We start from the raw sequence: 16,452 nt of genomic DNA on the forward strand, positions 1-16,452 counted from the left end.
TTCTATTTTACAGGCTGGGCGCCATGGATCACTTGAGGCCAGGAGTTCAAGACCAGCCTGGCCAACACGGTGAAATCTCATCTCTACTAAAAATACAAAAATTAGCTGGCGCACACCTGTAGTCCCAGCTGGTCCAGAGGCTGAGGCACAAGAATCACTTGAACCTAGGAGGCAGAGGTTGCAGTGAGCTGAGATCGTGCTACTGCACTCCAGCCTGGGTGGCAGAGCGAGACCCTGTCTCAAAAAAAGAAAGAGAATCTCATACCACTGCTGACGTGGCAGGAGGTGGAGCTCGGTAATGCGAGCCATGGGTAGAGGCTGTAGATACAAATGAAGCTTCACTCGCTCACCACTCACGTCCTGCTGTGCGCCCCAGTTCCTAACAGGCCAGACCAGTACCAGGGTTGTTGGGGATCCCTGAGCTGGAGGGAAATGGGCAGAGAGAAATATCTTCCAGTTTTTTTCCCCGATTGGAAAGGATACTGAAAACAAATGTGGCCAAGGGTTTAACATTGGAAGGGATGAGGAAACATTACTTTTGCCCTGGTAAGGATAAAATACTGTCATTTGTCTTGAGCCACTAGAAATAAAGTGTGTACACGTGTGTACACATGTATGTCTTTCAAGCAAGGCTATGTATTACTCAGAACTTCACATACTACGGTTATGGATTCCATGTAAATATGGAGCTTGGTTTGCAGCCATCTCTTCAAAGAGGAGAAGTAATGTACTGTTCTTTTTTACTGTACTTCTGCTTTGAAATAGAGTTCCAAAAGTAATTTGAACCAGCCGATCCTTTTAAAATGTGAGATCACGTAGTCATGCCAAGGAAAACACTCTTTGAAAAATCAGCTACACCTGTCCATCTGTTCTCTAACATATTTTCATAACAATTTTTCTTTCATTTTTCTGAGACAGGAACTCTCTCTCCCACCCAGGCTGGAGTGCAATGGCACAGTCCTGGCTCACTGCACCCTCCAACTCCTGGGTTCAGATGATCCTCCCACCTCAGCCTCCCAAGTAGCTGGCACTACAAGCATGTGCCACCATGCCTGGCTAAATTTTTTTTTGTAGTGATGGGGTCTCACTATGCAGCCCAGGCTGGTCTCGAACTCTTGGGCTCAAGTGATCCTCCCACCTCAGCTTCCCAGATTGCTGGGACAGGTGTGAGCCACCACACCTGGCATATTCATAACAACTTTAAGTGCCCACAGAGTACAGAAGAACATAAAAAGATATGAATTTCAGGTTTTTTGTTTTTTGTTTTGTTTTGTTTTGTTTTTTCTGAGACAGAGTCTCACTGTGTCACTCAGGCTGGAGTGCAGTGGTGCCATCTCAGCTCACTGCAACCTCCACCTCCCAGGTTCAAGGGATTCTCCTGCCTCAGCCTCCAGAGTAGCTGGGACTATAGGCACACGCCACCACGCCCAGCTAATTGTTGTATTTTTAGTAGAGACAAGGTTTCACCACGTTGGCCAGGCTGGTCTTGAACTTCTGGCCTCAAGTGATCCACCTGCCTCGGCCTCCCAAAGTGCTGGGATTACAGGTGCGAGCCACCGCGCCCGGCCCAGTGTTGTATTGAGAGACAGATGCATAAGTACAGCAGTGCCAGGTGATCTGTGACTGATACATGCTATGTAAGGACTCAGAGGCAGGCCTGTTAAATTCTCTGTCATAGAGGAAAGTGACACAGCTACATGTCCTTCATCCAGAAAGACCTGCTGGTGTCGGTGTGTGCCACACACTTTCTAGACTCAATTTCCCCTTTGTAAACTCCCCTGATGAGTTGGTCACTACTTGCGTCCTGTCCCAGCCTCAGGGGCTGGAGCCTCAGCAGCCCACATGGACGGAATGTCTCCTAGGTGTGGACTGTCTGACTTGCAGGGCTATCGTGATTGTCCCTTATCAGCGTGAGGTCATGAGCATGACATACCACCTTCTCCTTCCCTAGTCCCAGGAACAGGGAGAGAGGAGTTGACTCACAGGCAGCACCGGCGAAGTTGGTGTCAGGTCCAGGTTGAGGCTCTTTTCAGTTCAGCGAGAGGGAACTTCATGCATTTACTTTCACGTGGGCCGGTGGCTCACAGGCTCCTCCCTTGTCTTCCAGGGCCTGCACCTGCTGGGAAGGAGCACAGGAAACAAGATGCTGAGACTCCTCCACCTCCAGACCCCCCGGCTCCCGAGACCCTTCTTGCGCCACCACCCCTGCCTAGCACCCCCGATCCCCCCAGGAGGGAGCTGCGCGCCCCCTCCCCGCCGGTGGAGCACCCCAGACTCCTGCGCTCTGTTCCCACGCCCCTCGTTATGGCGCAGAAGATTTCCGAGAGGATGGCGGGGAACGAAGCCCTCTCGCCCACCTCCCCGTTCAGGGAGGGCCGGCCCGGGGAGTGGAGGACACCTGCCGCCCGGGGGCCCCGCAGTGGAGACCCTGGCCCGGGGCCCAGCCACCCGGCGCAGCCCAAGGCACCCCGCTTCCCCAGCAACATCATCGTCACCAACGGCGCGGCCCGGGAGCCCCGCAGGACCCTGTCCAGGGCGGCCGTCAGCGTGCAGGAGCGCAGGGCGCAGGTGTTGGCCACCATCCACGGCCACGCCGGCGCCTTCCCCGCCGCGGGGGACGCCGGCGAGGGGGCCCCAGGGGGCGGCTCCTCCCCGGAGCGGGTGGCGCGTGGCCGGGGCCTGCCGGGCCCCGCTGAGAGTCTCCGGGCAGGGGGTCAGGCTCCGCGGGGCCCGGCGCTGGCCAACGGCTTCCCAAGTGCGCACGAGGCCCTGAAGAGCGCACCCAGCTCCTTCGCGCCCGCTGGGAAGTCCCTCTGCTTCCGCCCTGGCCCGGCCCTGCCCAGCACGCGGGCCCGTCAGAGCTTCCCCGGGCCCCGGCAGCCCAACGGCGCCCAGGACTGGCGCCGCGCAGACTCCCTGCCCCGGCCCCAGGGCATCACCGTGCAGTTCGCGGGCCGCGGCTCCTCGGAGGAGGCGCGCAGGGAGGCCCTGCGGAAGCTGGGGCTGCTCAGGGAGAGTTCGTGAGGGCCGCGCGGGCTCCAGTCCACCCCGTTTCTCCCCACCCTGAAGAGAGGGTGAAAGAGTCGCTGCACCCAGGAGCTGTTTGGTCTAAAATGGAAGTGACAGCGGGAGCCCCTGCCCTCTGTGGCACATCGGAGTCTAGAGGTGCCTGGCTGGGGCCTCCTGGCTGAGCACGCACCGCAAGCTCCAGCCACCGGCACAGAGAACTCTTCCCTAAAGGAATCTGGCCGAGGGCTTGTCTCCCTTTTCCCAAGAACTGAGAGAGAGAGAATAACCTGTTAGACCCATAGGTTTCCGTGATGTGTAAATGCCATCTTTTGGGGGTTGGGAGGAGTAGGACTGGTCTGATTATCATTCTTGAGTCTCATCTACCCTCTTCTCGAAGTACATGACATGAAAGTTCAGATCCCTTCCACTCAGGATTCTCGCCGCCTTTTCTAAGAAAATAATAAAAAAAAATGCTTGTTTCATTTTTTAATGTCTTAATATACTTGCTTTTGTTTTTGAAGGGTGAGGCATCATGGTACTTTGCTTTTGTTTCTTGACGTACTTTAGTTTGCCCAGTTTTGTTTTTTACTGAAAACTGAAATGAAACCTTTAGATATTGAGTTTTGGGAGTGAAATGGAAAGGTGGTAATTTTGAGAAAGCAAGTCTCATCAGACTCTGAGGTCTGGGACGTGTGCGTGAGCCTGTGTTTGTGTGTGTATGTTTTTAGATACGTACGTGTCAACACATACATGCATAGGTATCCTGTGTGTCCACATGCATCATTATTATATAAATAGAAACTTCTGAACACCCTCCTAAGTCACTACAGGATGCCAGCGCTTCCTATTCTTGGGTAGACAGAGCCACCTCAGCATCCTGATGGATGATACAAGAAATTGTTACTTCCTAGTATGGAAGTGTCTTAAGGACACGTCTCCATGATATTTTGGTGAACCAAAAGTGCTTTATCCTCAACAAAATGTTCCTCTGTTCCCAGTTAAAGTAATATTCCCTGCTTCCAAGTAAGCAAGACTGTTCACTAAAGAAGGAACTTTTTAGAAAACTAATCTCCTTTATCATCCAATTTTAGTTCTGCATGTTCCGAGGTAGCCAGTCAACAGAAGGAAGCAAAAGATTCTTAAAGATCCACCGACTGTCATGTTCCACAAGCAAGATCTCAGGGTAGGGAAAAACCAGTGAATGAGGTTACACAGCAGGAAAAGAACCGGTTTCCTCCCAGACTATGTCTTACACGCTGAGTTATGCCACAAGCGTTATCATCAAAACTATTTAAGGCTGGAGTCTTAGACCTCTAAAAATAGACAGGAAGGGCTGCCCTGAGCAGTGACACCTTTGTGTTTTTATGTCTCCGCCAGCGCCGTAACAGAGCCTGTTTCTTTCCCGTTGAGTATTACTTAAATTCAGGCTTAAATGTGCTATGAAGGGCATTTTTCATAGTATCCCATTTGCCTTGTAAGTTATATAAAGTGCATGATTATAATTTTTTCCTTAGAAATGCAATATTTAGTTTCATCCAGCTCTTATGAATAATAACCTCATAGATTCCTGATCTTAATTTAAATAGGTGCTTTAATTTTACAGCTTTCAAAAGTAGTTACTGTAAATTTTACTCCTGTTAATGCTGGATTGGTTTAAAGGATTTATAAGGGCTGTGTTTGCTCTTTACAAGGCAAGATGCCATACAGTGTTCAATAATAGAAGGTCTTGATACAACCGACATTTTAAATATTCTTTATACATGAGGACTGCATCTTTTTCACTGACCCTATGATTTCACTGTGAGTAGGGTGAACTGGACTGCATATTAGTTTATTTGTTGCCATAATCACATTTTTGAAAAATAAATTTAAGAGTTTTTTCTTAAGTAAGCTTGTTTTTGCATTGCATGCTATATTCTCAGTTACTTTCTTTTAAATGGTTATACCCTTTCCTTCTATTTATTCATAATTTCTTCTCTTTATTCATAGTTACACTGACTGTCACTCTGGTCATTTCTTGTGTCTAAAACCCTACTAATTATAGCCATATGTTTTGTACAAAGTTCAAATTATAGCTGCTGCTAAACTAACCTTTAAGTGTACTTATGTTAGCAAACCCAGTTTGTGGAGAGGCATTAGTTTCCTTGCCATAATTACGTGATGTGATTTCTTAAAGGTCATCTGGTTCATGGTAATTTGAAGGACCATGCATATCTCAAAGCAAAACCGTAATGGAAAGGAAAGATGAAGTGTTAAATGCCCCACTTTTTTCCCCAAGTTATGCTGGAAATCATTCTCCACTTTTACAAAACTCTTTATCTTAATGCTTAAATCAGAAAAAAAAAAAATACCCTTTTTTTTTTGAGATGGTCTTGTCTCCCTCTTCCCAAGAACTGAGTGAGAGAATCACCTTCGCCCAGGCTGGAATGCAGTGGCATGATCTCGGCTCACTGCAACCTCCAGCCTCCCGAGTAGCTGGGATAATAGGAACGTGCCACCATGCTGGGCTAACTTTTGTATTTTTAGTAGAGATGGGGTTTCACTATGTTGGCCAGGCTGGTCTCGAACTCCTGACCTCATGTGATCCCCCCGCCTTGGCCTCCCAAAGTACTGGGATTACAGGCGTAAGCCACTGCCCCAGCCATATCCTTTCCTTTTCAAAAGTTGTGTGCAAATGGCCAAACCAGAGTCCCATGGGCAGATGGCAACACCAAACACAGGATCACAGCATCAGCCGCAGTCCTCTCCTCCTCCTCCCCTTTCTGATACTTGGTTCCTAGCATGCATACCCAACTTTGTGAGACTGGCAGAAATGTTGATCTTTGCTTCTCCCCTGCCCGCATTCTCCTGTAAGGCTGGCTGAGGAGAGAAGGGACAGGAAAGACAGACACAGATCCTGGGATGCTTTCATCAAGAATTCGGGGGACAACTTCTCCATGGTGTTTAATGATAGAGCCCTCGGCTTCATGAATTATTGACCAAACTCACAGGCATCTGAGGGCGGCCCCAGGCATGGGGCTCGCAGCCTACACTGCCTGCCTGCTCTTCAGCCCCTCCTGGGCTATACAAGCTGTCTTCTGACTCTAGGATTCCTCACTCAAAATTCCTGGTGCAGAGTTCCACTGTAGGATGCCCATTTGAAACCAGCTGTAAAGAGCTGAGCAGAGGTGATGAGCAAGGCCTTATGGAAACCTTAGGATTTACTGTTTTATTTAAAAACACAAAATCGGAAATACATTCTCTTGGCCGGTGGCTCATGCCAGAAATTTGGGAGGCCGAGGTGGGGGGAATCGATTGAGCCCAGGGGTTCGAGACCAGCCTGGGCAATATAGTGAGTCCCTATCTCTACAAAAAAAAAAAAATAGCCCAGCCTGGTGGCATGCACCTATAGTCCCAGTTACTAGGAGGCAGAGGTGGCAGTATCACTTCAGTCTGGGAGGTCAAGGTTGCAGTTAGCCGAGATCTTGCCACTGCACTCCAACCTGGGCAACAGAGCGAGACCTTGTCTCGAAAAAAGAAAAAAGAAATGGATTCTCCTTAAATTTCCACACCTCTGGCTGTGAGGATTCTGACTTGTCAGAGGATTTGGTGGAGTTTTTTTTAATATACAATAGGTAATCTAAGGAAATCAGTTATTTAATGGTTAATAAAGAGGAATGAAAGAGAAAAAATATGACAACAATTTACTTTTATCGAGAAACTCCTGCCAGGCGCCGCGGCTCACACCTGTAATCCCAGCAATTTGGGAGGCCGAAGTGGGCGGATCACAAGGTCAGGAGATCGAGATCAGCCTGGCCAACATAGTGAAACCCCATCTCTACGAAAATACAAAAAGTAGCCGGGCGTGGTGGCGGGTGCCTGTAGTCCCAGCTACTTGGGAGGCTGAGGCAGGAGAATGGCGTGAACCCGTGAGGCGGAGGTTGCAGTGAGCCGAGATTGCGCCACTGCACTCCAGCCTGGGCGACAGAGTGAGACTCTGTCCCCAAAAAAAAAAAAGAAACTCCTAACTGCTGTGCTGTTTTCCCGATGGTGACTCCCCTCAGGAAGGCACTGTTTCTCTGCGTGTATTTATCGCTGTGACGTGGCGAGATTAATAAACTTGTTTTCCCCTAAACTGCTTCCCTGAGTTCTTAAACTTCTGTCATCAAAGAATGGTGAACTCTGAGGGAGCAGTCGCCTTGTTTTCCTGTTTCTTCTCATCTTGCTGTGGTCCCCGCCAGGGCTGCTGGGGGGAGGAGGAGGGGGAGGAGGAAGGGGAGGAGTTGGGAGTGCTCACCTGGAGAGGTTTGTGTTTTCATTGAAAGGACAAGTCACCAAACAGGTTTTGTGTCTTCTCTTCACAAGGCTTTTCTCTCCCCTGCTTTTAAGTAGGGGGAACAAGTTCCATCTCCTTTTCTAATCTGCTAGTTGGACAAGCCCTGCTTTCAAATAGTTGAGGAAAGAAGACAGAGCTGCAAGCCTCCGTTTCCTGGGAAATCACGTGCTCTGTCATTGAATTTGAAGCGGAGGCGTGGCTGGGAACCCAGCTCCACGTGGCCTACCTCCCCCAGGCCTCTGGGGCTTCTCCCTCACCGCCAGAATCACCACTTTCTCTCGGCATGAAAGCCTTGTGGGGGGATCCAGCCAGCCACAGAAGAAAAAGCCCTGGGGCCCTCCCACCCCACGCTTTTCACCATGGCAACAGTCCGCCCTGGCGTTTGACAGATAAAGGCTTTCTGAAAGGCCTCTTCCAAACAAGATAGCAGAACTCAGCCCTCTGCATTCCAAATCCACAAGACTTATGAAATGCCCATCACTCAGCGAAGCAGACTTCATGCTTCCTCCTGCGTATTGTCCTGGGGGGAGACGGGGAGCCAACCCCCAGGAGCCCAAAAGGGTGTCCTCCAGGCTTGCTTTTTATGTAGACTGTAGGAGCTTCCTATGCAACAACCGGCTAAGAAGCCGCCGCATGGTGACTCCCAGTAATGACCTAAACAGCCTCAAAACGGCAAACTCCAGCCTAGGGGAGAAGCACCCCAATCACCCTGCAGAGTGCAGCAGGGTCACAGCGCCCCAGCATTGCCTGGATCCCACTGCAATCCCCAGATCTGAGTGCGGGGTCCACAGCCAGACCTCTCCGCCCTGGGCACAGGAGGATCTGGAGCAAGGCGGGGTCGGGCTGGGTCCCCTCTTGCTTCACTGCTTGGGTTTCAGGCAGGTTTTCCTCGCTCCTGAGGCTGCTTTAAAGCCCTGGTCGCCCTGTTCCCCACTGACCCTTGCTTTTGAAGTTCGGGAGCATCTGGAAGTACAACCCGCTCTAGGCATGCTCAAAGCCCCAGGCCTCTCTGCTGCAGGCTGGGTAGACAGCAGGAACCCCAGGCCAGCATGCGACCCCCACCCCCATATCCCCTACTGCAGTCAGAGCTGTGACCAGCCCACCCTAGCCCAAGATCAGAATTCACATTTGCAAGCGGAGGCTGCTGGAACTCAGTGGTTGATAAACAGGTCACCCTTCATAAACTTTAACCTCAGAGTGTTTGTGTATGAAGCAACGCTGCCAACAGTAGTGACCTAAATTCTGGAAATGCCTTTCAGGGGTGGGGCTGAATGAACAAGGGAGCTGCGTGCCGGGCCTGCACAGCCTGCGCGCATGACTAAGGGACAGCTCCCATTCAGGCCCAGGCTCCTTTGACTGTGGGGCTGGCACGTTGCCTTTCACCCCATGAACTGCCTGTGAGTGTGAGGATGGCAGCAAGGGACCTGCCCTTGTTCCTGAAGACACCCTGGCCCTCTGTGGCCCTTATGCAATGGCCCAAGTCCTCATACAACCCATGTCCCTGACAGGTTACGGTGCCAGCAATGCCACCTGGCCACCTTCAGTTTCCAACTGGTTCTCGGACTGTACAAGCTTCCTGGTCCTTGAAATCAGACAGACTGTATCCCTTTTACCTGGCTATTCACTTGGTGTCTGGTGTATTGAATTTGGGGAAAATAATCTCTGCTTGGGAAGATGGTTTTCAAAGAGTAAGAAGGCTTAAGAAGGCCTGGCCATGCCCAGATATCGGAGCAGCTGAGGTGCCCCATCTCCTGCGCCTGCCTTCCCAACTCAGGACTGAGGGGCTCACATGGCCGTGACTTCCCTAATTCATCACCCATGTGACTGTGAAGCTTTCTGTGAGGCTCTTCATTCTTCAGCCCAGTCTTTGTGTGTGTGTGTGTGTGTGTGTGTGTTTTTCTTTTCTGAGATGGAGTTTCTCTCTGTCATGCAGGCTGGAGCGCAGTGGCGCCATCTCACCTCACTGCAACCTCTGCCTCCCGGGTTCAAGCAATTCTGCCTCAGCCTCCCTAGTAGCTGAAACTACAGGCGCCCTCCACCACGCCTGGCTAATTTTTGTATTTTTACTAGAAACAGGGTTTCGCCATGTTGGCCAGGCTTGTCTCGAACTCCTGACCTCAGGTGATCCACCTGCCTCGGCCTCCCGAAGTGCTGGAATTACAGGCGTGAGCCACCGTGCCTGGCCCTTCCGTCCAATCTTAAAAGCCACAGGAACTGAATTTAAAAACATCTATCATGTAAAACAGTTGGTGGCAGTGGGGAGATGCCAGATATGACAGTCTCATTCGTTCATTCATGCATTCAGCCAATCTTTGCGTCCCTTCCATATGCCGACACTGAGCAGTGCTAGATGGTGGCTCCTTCCTCCCTACGGCCACCTAACAGGTGGGGCCGTCCCAGCAGCTTACACATGGAACAGGGAGGCTTCACTTCTCTCCTCGGGTCCTCTGGGGGCTGCTGCGGGTGCCCTGCCCTGGCGGCCGGGCTGCACCCTCCAGTGTGTCCTGCCCTCTTGCTTCCCTTCTTTCCTTGCCACCCACGGAGTCACTTCCTGAACGAAACTGGCCCCCTTCTCCCCATAGCTCCTCCTGATCTTTAGGTAGGCTTCAGGGGCATAGTAATAGGGACGAGGCCACTTAGAGGGGTGACAAGGAAAGGCAGCTGAAGGCTGGGCCATTTGAGGGCAGCCTTGGCAGGAAGAGGGAGTGGGGGCAAAGGGCAGTTTCCAAGAGGAAAGGGAGGTGGGGGGGTGAGTCTGGGCCTGAGAAGGGCCCCCAAGGCAGTGGGTGGGGAAGGTCCTTGATATCTGGTGCCTGTGACCTCGGCCTTGGGGACCCAGCTCCAGGCAGGTCCTTTGGTGGCCTCTGTCTCCCTTCCCCCACTTAGGAGCTGGTTCTAGAAACTGGAATTGCCTGTAGGAGTTTCCAGCGCCCCGACCTGCAGGACTGCCACGCACAACACGGCTACACAAGCTCCCGGGGTTGCCCGATCAGCTCCTTGGCAGGCCTTTGAAGCCGTGGTTGTTGCTAGAAAGGCAAGGAGGCTTCCGTGGAGAGTCCAGGGGCCTGGCTCCGACCCAGTATCTGGGAAGCACTGCGTTGCCCAGGCCTGCCTCTGCCTCCACCCCGACCCCAGCTCAGGGGGCAGCAGGGACCAGGTGGTATTTCGCCTTACACATTTACAGCTGCAGCTCCATCGTGACACAGGTACCCTACAAACTGTTGGCCCCCTCCTGCCCTGTCACAAATTATCACAATTCTGCCAATATTCCTCAGTGGCACTGCTGACATTTTTGTCTCTGTTTTATTGGGTGTGCCAGCTGTCAAGGAACTGAGGTCTCCTTGCCTTGGGAGGCCCCACACTTTGTCTAGTAACCTTGCTATCATTTCGATTATCTTTTGTAAATTTCTCTAGAAATAACTACTTTCAGTGCCGGTTTAGGCCAGGTTTTTGTTTTTTTTTTTGTTTTTGTTTTTGTTTTTTTGAGATGGAGTCTTGCTCTGTCGCCCAGGCTGGAGTGCTGTCGCCCAGGCTGGAGTGCAGTGGCGCGATCTCTGCTCATTGCAAGCTCCGCCTCCCGGGTTCACGCCATTCTCCTGCCTCAGTCTCCGGAGTAGCTGGGACTACAGGCGCCCGCCACCATGCCCGGCTAATTTTTGTATTTTTAGTAGAGACGGGGTTCACCTTGTTAGCCAGGATGGTCTCAATCTCCTGACCTCGTGATCCTTGGCCTCCCAAAGTGCTGGGATTACAGGGGTGAGCCACCGTGCCCGACTAGGCTGGGTTTTTAAAATCACTCAAGTTTTCCTTTTAAACCAGATTTTTGTTTTTTTGTCAGCTCAATCATCCACCTCATACAGTTTTGATCCCAAGGGACTGCTTGCTGTTTCTAAAAACCAGATCCTCCTGGTTTCAAAGGTACATTTTGCTGTCAGTGTACCCTGCTGGATTTTCAATTCCACATTGAAGCCTGCAGCTTCCAGAGGAGCCCAGAGCCAGTGGAAAGCACAGAGCACACTGACTCAGGAAGTACAGACAGCTGGGAGGTTCCAAAGGCTGAGGGGCCATTACACTAGATCATTCTGTGTGGCCACAGAGAGGACAGGTAGAGAGATTTCGACTCAGTCCGGGGAACTGTAGAGCACTCAGACTGCCTGGGATGGAAAGAGCCGTTCCTAAGAACATGGTCTCCCCTCCCCATGACGCGCAGAGGCAGGGCCAGGGCTAGGGAGAGAGACTGTCCTCAAGGACCGGCCTCAGCAACGCAAATGTCAGGTGCTTGGCGTGTGCCTGGCTTACACCTTCCTCATCCCCATCATCACCGCAGGGAATTCCTACATGGCCCTGGGAACTCGGGAGCAAGACCAGACGCAGGAGTGAAAGCCCATGGGCCTGGCAGCCCCAGCCAGGGACAACCAGCCAGTCCTGACTGGCGACAACCAACCAGCTCCAGCCAGGGACAACCAACCAGCCCTGACCAGGGACAACCAACCAGCCCTGACCAGGGACAACAAACCAGCCCCAAACAGGGACAACCAACCAGCTCCAGCCAGGGACAACCAATCAACCCCGACCAGGCACAACCAACCCGCTCCAGCCAGGGACAACCAACCAGCCCCAGCCAGAGACAACTCACCAGCCCCAGGAGGGACAACCAACCAGCTCCAGCCAGGGACAACCAACCAGCTCCAGCCAGGGACAACCAACAAGCCCTGACCAGGGACAACCAACCAGCCCTGACCAGGGACGGAACAACCAACCAGCTCCGACCAGGCACACCCAACCAGCCCTGACCAGGGACAACCAACCAGCCCTGACCAGGCACAACCAACCAGCCCCGACCAGGCACAACCAACCAGCCCCGACCAGGCACAACCAACCAGCCCCAGCCAGGGACAAACAACCAGCCCCGACCAGGGACAACCAACCAGCCCCGACCAGGGACAACCAACCAGCCCCGACCAGGGACAACCAACTAGCCCTGAGCAGGGACCGAACAACCAACCAGCCCCGACCAGGCACAACCAACCAGCCCCGACCAGGGACAACCAACCAGCCCCGACAAGGGACAACCAACTAGCCCCAGCCAGGTACAAACAATCAGCCCCAGCCAGGCACAACCAGCCAGCCCCGACCACAGACAACCTATCAGCTCCAACCAGGCACAACCAGCCAGCCCCAGCCAGGCACAACCAACCAGCTCCAACCAGGCACAACCAACCAGCCCTGACCAGGAACAACCAACCAGCTCCTACCAGAAACAACCAGCCCCCACCAGGAACAGGCAGCCCCGACCAGGGAGAGGCAGCCCCAGCCACCCTGCATCGTGGGCCCCTCCCTGATAGTCAGTGGGGACTTCAGCAGAGCAGCCAGTTTTACGTATAAATTTCACCACCCCCTGAGAAACAGGGCTTTCCCACTTTCTACAAATATGTGTCCAGAGTTTATTTTTCTTCCCCGAGGCTGGGCAGGCCTGGCTTCCTGCTCAGAGACAACACGGGAGGAAGCCGCCCACCCCAGCGCAGGTTTTTCCACGTTCCCTCCCTTGCCCGTGGAAATACGGAGCTCTTCGCAGAGCCAGGCCCTCCCTGTGCCTCCCTCCCAGCCTCTTCTGATGAGACAGCACTGAACCTGGACCAGCCCGGCCCAGTCCAGGGACACTGGAAACTATGAGGCCCAGAGTCCCACGGCCACCTGGGCTGGCACAGAGGAGGTGATTGTGTGAACTGCAGCGCCACAGGCCCCAGCCTGGCCATCACGCACAGCACCCTCAGGCCAAGGCTGCCCTGACCTCCCGCTGGGGCCTGCGCAGAGGTGGGATGACCCAGGCCTAAGTCCCAGCCGCCGAGGGAGAGGAGGACCGCCCAGTAGGGAGCGCCACCTGCCCCTCCTCTGCCTTCTAGGTAGGGGCCTGGGGCCCTGCCCACGAGCCGCTCTGCCTCCGCCCATCCTGCCAAGCCAGTGCTCCTTCCAGAACGGAAAGGCAACCCGCCACACTGCCTCCCAGATATGGCCTCCTCTGGCCTTTCTCTGGGAAGCCTCCACCAATTCCCCACAGCTTCCCTTGGCCGGGCCCCACAGCTCTCCTAGAACTCTGATGGCACTAGAAACTGTTCCTGTACCACCCGGTGCCGCTAGGAGAGGGCAGCGTCCAACAGGAAGACCTGGGCCCGAGACACAACGCCGACTCTCCCCTGCTGTGTGCACTGAAGTTACCAAGGAGAGGGAGACTGAAAGACTAAGTGATTAGGTCGTGGATGTGTAGGACTCGTGAAAACTGCCAGCCTAGCACAGTCTAGGGCAGGGCTTCTGAGTGCAGGCCCCTGATGGCAGAGCATGCACCGGGGAATCTGAGAGGCACACACATGATCAGACTCGCCTCACGCCTGATGGATCAGAAACTCTGGGGTGGGCTCCAGGAAGGTGTGATCTCAATGCACTGGGCTGGCAAACAGAACCCAGCGCGCTCCCCCGAGGTGCACAGGAGGAGATGCACGCTCAGGCGCAGCACAGGCATGGGGCTGTGACCTCCTGGAGGTGGGGCCCCACTGTGCTAATCTCTGCACCCCCAGTACCTAGCATGGCATCTGGCACATAGTAGGTGTTTAATAAGTAGCTCTTAAAGTGAATCACTGTGTGAACACTGATAAACAAGAGTGGCTCAGAAGCGTCACCGTGAGCATATGTCACAATTTAGGAAGCAGAGAGTCCAGCTCAGATGACAGAATAGTAGGCCCAAGCCACTTTCTTGGTCCTGAGCATGACCACCGACGACCGGAGCAGCTTCAACCTGACACGGAGCCAGGCCACACTTCCTGCACCTCCGTACGTGACCTCCGGGTGTCCCTCGAGTAGCTCACAAGGCCACACCTGGCTGTGGCCAGCTATTCCTTTGTTCGTCCTTCTAGCATGTGGCGCCTGTTATGTGTGTCCAAGGCCATCCTGAGGATACAGTGGTGAGCAGGACAGACAGCCCCACACTCCCCAGGCTCGCAGTCCAGGGGAGGGGAGAGGACAGACAAGTGATCAAGCTACCTGCAAGAAGGTGTGGCAGCACTGTGACAGGGGAGACGTGGGGCTGGGAGACCAAGTACGGGGCAGTGGTCAGGGAAGGCTGGAAGGACGCCAAGGGGAATATTCTAGGCAGAGAGCACAGCCTGTGCAGAGACCTAGAGCCAGTCAGGAGTCAGAGGCGTGAGGAAGGTGGGGGCTACCCACGTGGCGCTGTCAGTCTCTAAAGTCCCTGTATAGAGCACTGTGCCATGAGTGGGGGCACCCTGCCCACACAGGCCTCACAGTCTAGCAGTCATTCAACAAATACTCGGGCACCATCCTAGATGCTGGGGATACAGTATAACAAAAGCAAAACACGAAGCAAGACTCTTCTCTTGAGGAGCTTGCCTACTCTCGTGGTAAAGACAGAAAGCAAAGCCAAGAATAGTGCTTCAGGGTCAAGCAGAAGTCATGGATGGAATCCCTGCCCAGGAGAGACTGGGTGGGGCCAAGGAAGTTGAAGGCCAGTGTCATCACCAGGTAATCAGGAGTTAGGAATGTGCCAGCTCACCCAAGTCACAGCCCTGATCTGGCCTCTGTGACTCCAACCTGATGGTTTCAGCCTCCCCGTTTGCAATCAAAGGGAAGGTAGCCAGGCTTTCAGGAGAGGAAGGAACAAGGCAGAGAAGACTATGCGAATTAAGCTTATTATACTGTACCACCATATTGTACCATGAATATTATGCATATTGTACTGATCTATGACATTATACTGGACATGTATTAGACTTATACTGTACTATAATTATGCTACACATATTGCCCTGTACTAGGCTACACTATATGTACTGTACTACAGTAAACAGCCTCATGCCCGACTCGTAATCCACATTTAAACGTTCGTGCAACTAAGCTGAGGTTTTTTTCAGCTGAGAATAAGGAGCCGTTTGTCCTGCTTGGCATTTGGGACCCGAGAGAGTGTCATGTCCAAAGCTGGTTTTCCATCCGCCCAAGTACCAGATCTGGTCTAGATAAAGCAAAGGAAGTGGTAAATGACAAGGCCAGGGAGGCTGTTTGTGGGTGAAACCTCACCGAGGCTAAGGCTAATAACACTTAATGGGAGACTGAATCCCAGACGTCAGCCGCCCCGGCTGATCCTCTAATGACAGGCTGTGTGGCGAGTGTGCTTCCTGGGTTGGCTGCCATTGGAGGCATCACCATGCGTGGGTCCTAACCAGGTATTGTCTGAAATAGGGCTTAGAACAAAACCCACCTCACATTCACACTTTCTTCTGTATTTCCAAAAAAGTGTTTAGGAGGGAGGAAATGGGCAGAGGTAGGAGGTAGAATGACAATGAAGATGGGCTCTGGGTTGGGCCTGCCACTTAACGGAAGGTACGGCCCGGCCCAAGTCACCTCCATTGCTGGGCTTCAGCGTCATTGGATTAGTCAGGATGGATGAGGCTATGCAGTGGTAACAAACAGACCCTGTGATCTCAGCGGCTTAACAAAATAAGCTTATTTTACTCACACTTTGTGGGCCAGGCATCCTTTTTCTACCCTGTAGCTACACTAGCAGGAACACGTGGCCTCTGATGCTCCCAGAGGCTGTAGGGAAGGAGAGGGATTTGGAGGGTCTCATGGATTCACTGGAGGGCAGGCCTGAAGCTGGCTGGCATCACCCTTCCACGTCTCACTCACCACACAGCCACAGCCACTGCAGAGGGACCAGGAAATGCAGTCACCTCTCCAGGAAGCAGCAATGCCATGGGGAGAGCACGATCCAGTCCTCACCCCCTCAGCTGTTCAACCCCTTCATTCGCTCAGTTTGGGGAGGGCACCTAGTATGTGCCAGGCATCATGTTAAGTGCTGGAGCCACAAAGGTCACTGTGTCCTCAATAAGTTCAGTAAGTGAGACACACGAAGCGGTGTCACATTAGAATTCTGGACAGGTTTCTGTGGGAGCAGCAAAGAGAGGCACCAACCCAGCCCAGGCAAAGGAGGTGGGCAGCAGTGTGCTGGTAACTGTTCAGCAGCTGGCTCTCCAAAGAAACATGTTTACTTATAAATTTATAAATTCTAATGATACAAAGGATACAGAGCACACAATTTACAAATAATGTTAAAAATTCAA

The 16,452-nt window shown here is 52.8% G+C and overlaps 1 protein-coding gene and 1 long non-coding RNA gene across 5 annotated transcripts in view, besides 8 other annotated features; one reads left to right on the forward strand and one right to left on the reverse strand.

The window, feature by feature from the left end:
• PROSER2 (proline and serine rich 2) overlaps positions 1-4,895 on the forward strand; it is a 48,922-nt gene extending 44,027 nt beyond the window's left edge. For all 4 annotated transcript variants that reach the window (XM_011519438.3, NM_153256.4, XM_047424963.1 and 1 more), the window contains one exon: positions 2,108-4,895. In XM_011519438.3, the coding sequence (XP_011517740.1) occupies positions 2,108-3,024 (917 nt within the window). In that variant the 3' untranslated portion in view covers positions 3,025-4,895. The remainder of the gene's footprint in view (positions 1-2,107) is intronic.
• The window catches only part of PROSER2-AS1 (PROSER2 antisense RNA 1), a 45,103-nt gene that overhangs the window by 17,775 nt on the left and 10,876 nt on the right, over positions 1-16,452 (reverse strand). Inside the window, exon 3 of the long non-coding RNA NR_038222.1 lies at positions 1,984-2,119. This is a non-coding gene — a long non-coding RNA (PROSER2 antisense RNA 1). The remainder of the gene's footprint in view (positions 1-1,983; positions 2,120-16,452) is intronic.
• Positions 7,428-7,722: an enhancer, noted in NCBI's record as "tiled region #652; K562 Activating DNase unmatched - State 1:Tss". NCBI's record gives its function as "activates a minimal TATA promoter and a strong SV40 promoter by Sharpr-MPRA in K562 cells {active_cell/tissue: K562}" and the evidence as "EXISTENCE:reporter gene assay evidence [ECO:0000049][PMID:27701403]".
• Positions 7,428-7,722: a silencer, noted in NCBI's record as "tiled region #652; HepG2 Repressive DNase unmatched - State 1:Tss". NCBI's record gives its function as "represses a minimal TATA promoter and a strong SV40 promoter by Sharpr-MPRA in HepG2 cells {active_cell/tissue: HepG2}" and the evidence as "EXISTENCE:reporter gene assay evidence [ECO:0000049][PMID:27701403]".
• Positions 7,428-8,357: a biological region, named in NCBI's record as "Sharpr-MPRA regulatory region 652".
• Positions 7,509-8,357: an enhancer, noted in NCBI's record as "H3K27ac-H3K4me1 hESC enhancer chr10:11916890-11917738 (GRCh37/hg19 assembly coordinates)". NCBI's record gives its function as "activates a minimal SCP1, AML or CMV promoter by ChIP-STARR-seq in naive H9 embryonic stem cells {active_cell/tissue: H9 hESC(naive)}" and the evidence as "EXISTENCE:reporter gene assay evidence [ECO:0000049][PMID:30033119]".
• Positions 8,358-9,205: an enhancer, noted in NCBI's record as "H3K27ac-H3K4me1 hESC enhancer chr10:11917739-11918586 (GRCh37/hg19 assembly coordinates)". NCBI's record gives its function as "activates a minimal SCP1, AML or CMV promoter by ChIP-STARR-seq in primed H9 embryonic stem cells {active_cell/tissue: H9 hESC(primed)}" and the evidence as "EXISTENCE:reporter gene assay evidence [ECO:0000049][PMID:30033119]".
• Positions 14,048-14,342: an enhancer, noted in NCBI's record as "tiled region #10562; HepG2 Activating DNase matched - State 5:Enh, and K562 Activating DNase unmatched - State 25:Art". NCBI's record gives its function as "activates a minimal TATA promoter and a strong SV40 promoter by Sharpr-MPRA in HepG2 and K562 cells {active_cell/tissue: HepG2 | K562}" and the evidence as "EXISTENCE:reporter gene assay evidence [ECO:0000049][PMID:27701403]".
• Positions 14,048-15,361: a biological region, named in NCBI's record as "BRD4-independent group 4 enhancer GRCh37_chr10:11923543-11924742".
• Positions 14,162-15,361: an enhancer, noted in NCBI's record as "BRD4-independent group 4 enhancer chr10:11923543-11924742 (GRCh37/hg19 assembly coordinates)". NCBI's record gives its function as "activates an origin of replication core promoter dependent on BRD2, P300/CBP, MED14 and CDK7 cofactors, and independent of BRD4, by STARR-seq in HCT116 cells {active_cell/tissue: HCT116}" and the evidence as "EXISTENCE:reporter gene assay evidence [ECO:0000049][PMID:35650434]".

The sequence above is a fragment of the Homo sapiens genome, chromosome 10 (genome assembly GCF_000001405.40).
Source record: "Homo sapiens chromosome 10, GRCh38.p14 Primary Assembly".
In the NCBI taxonomy this organism is placed as follows: Eukaryota; Metazoa; Chordata; class Mammalia; order Primates; family Hominidae; genus Homo; species Homo sapiens.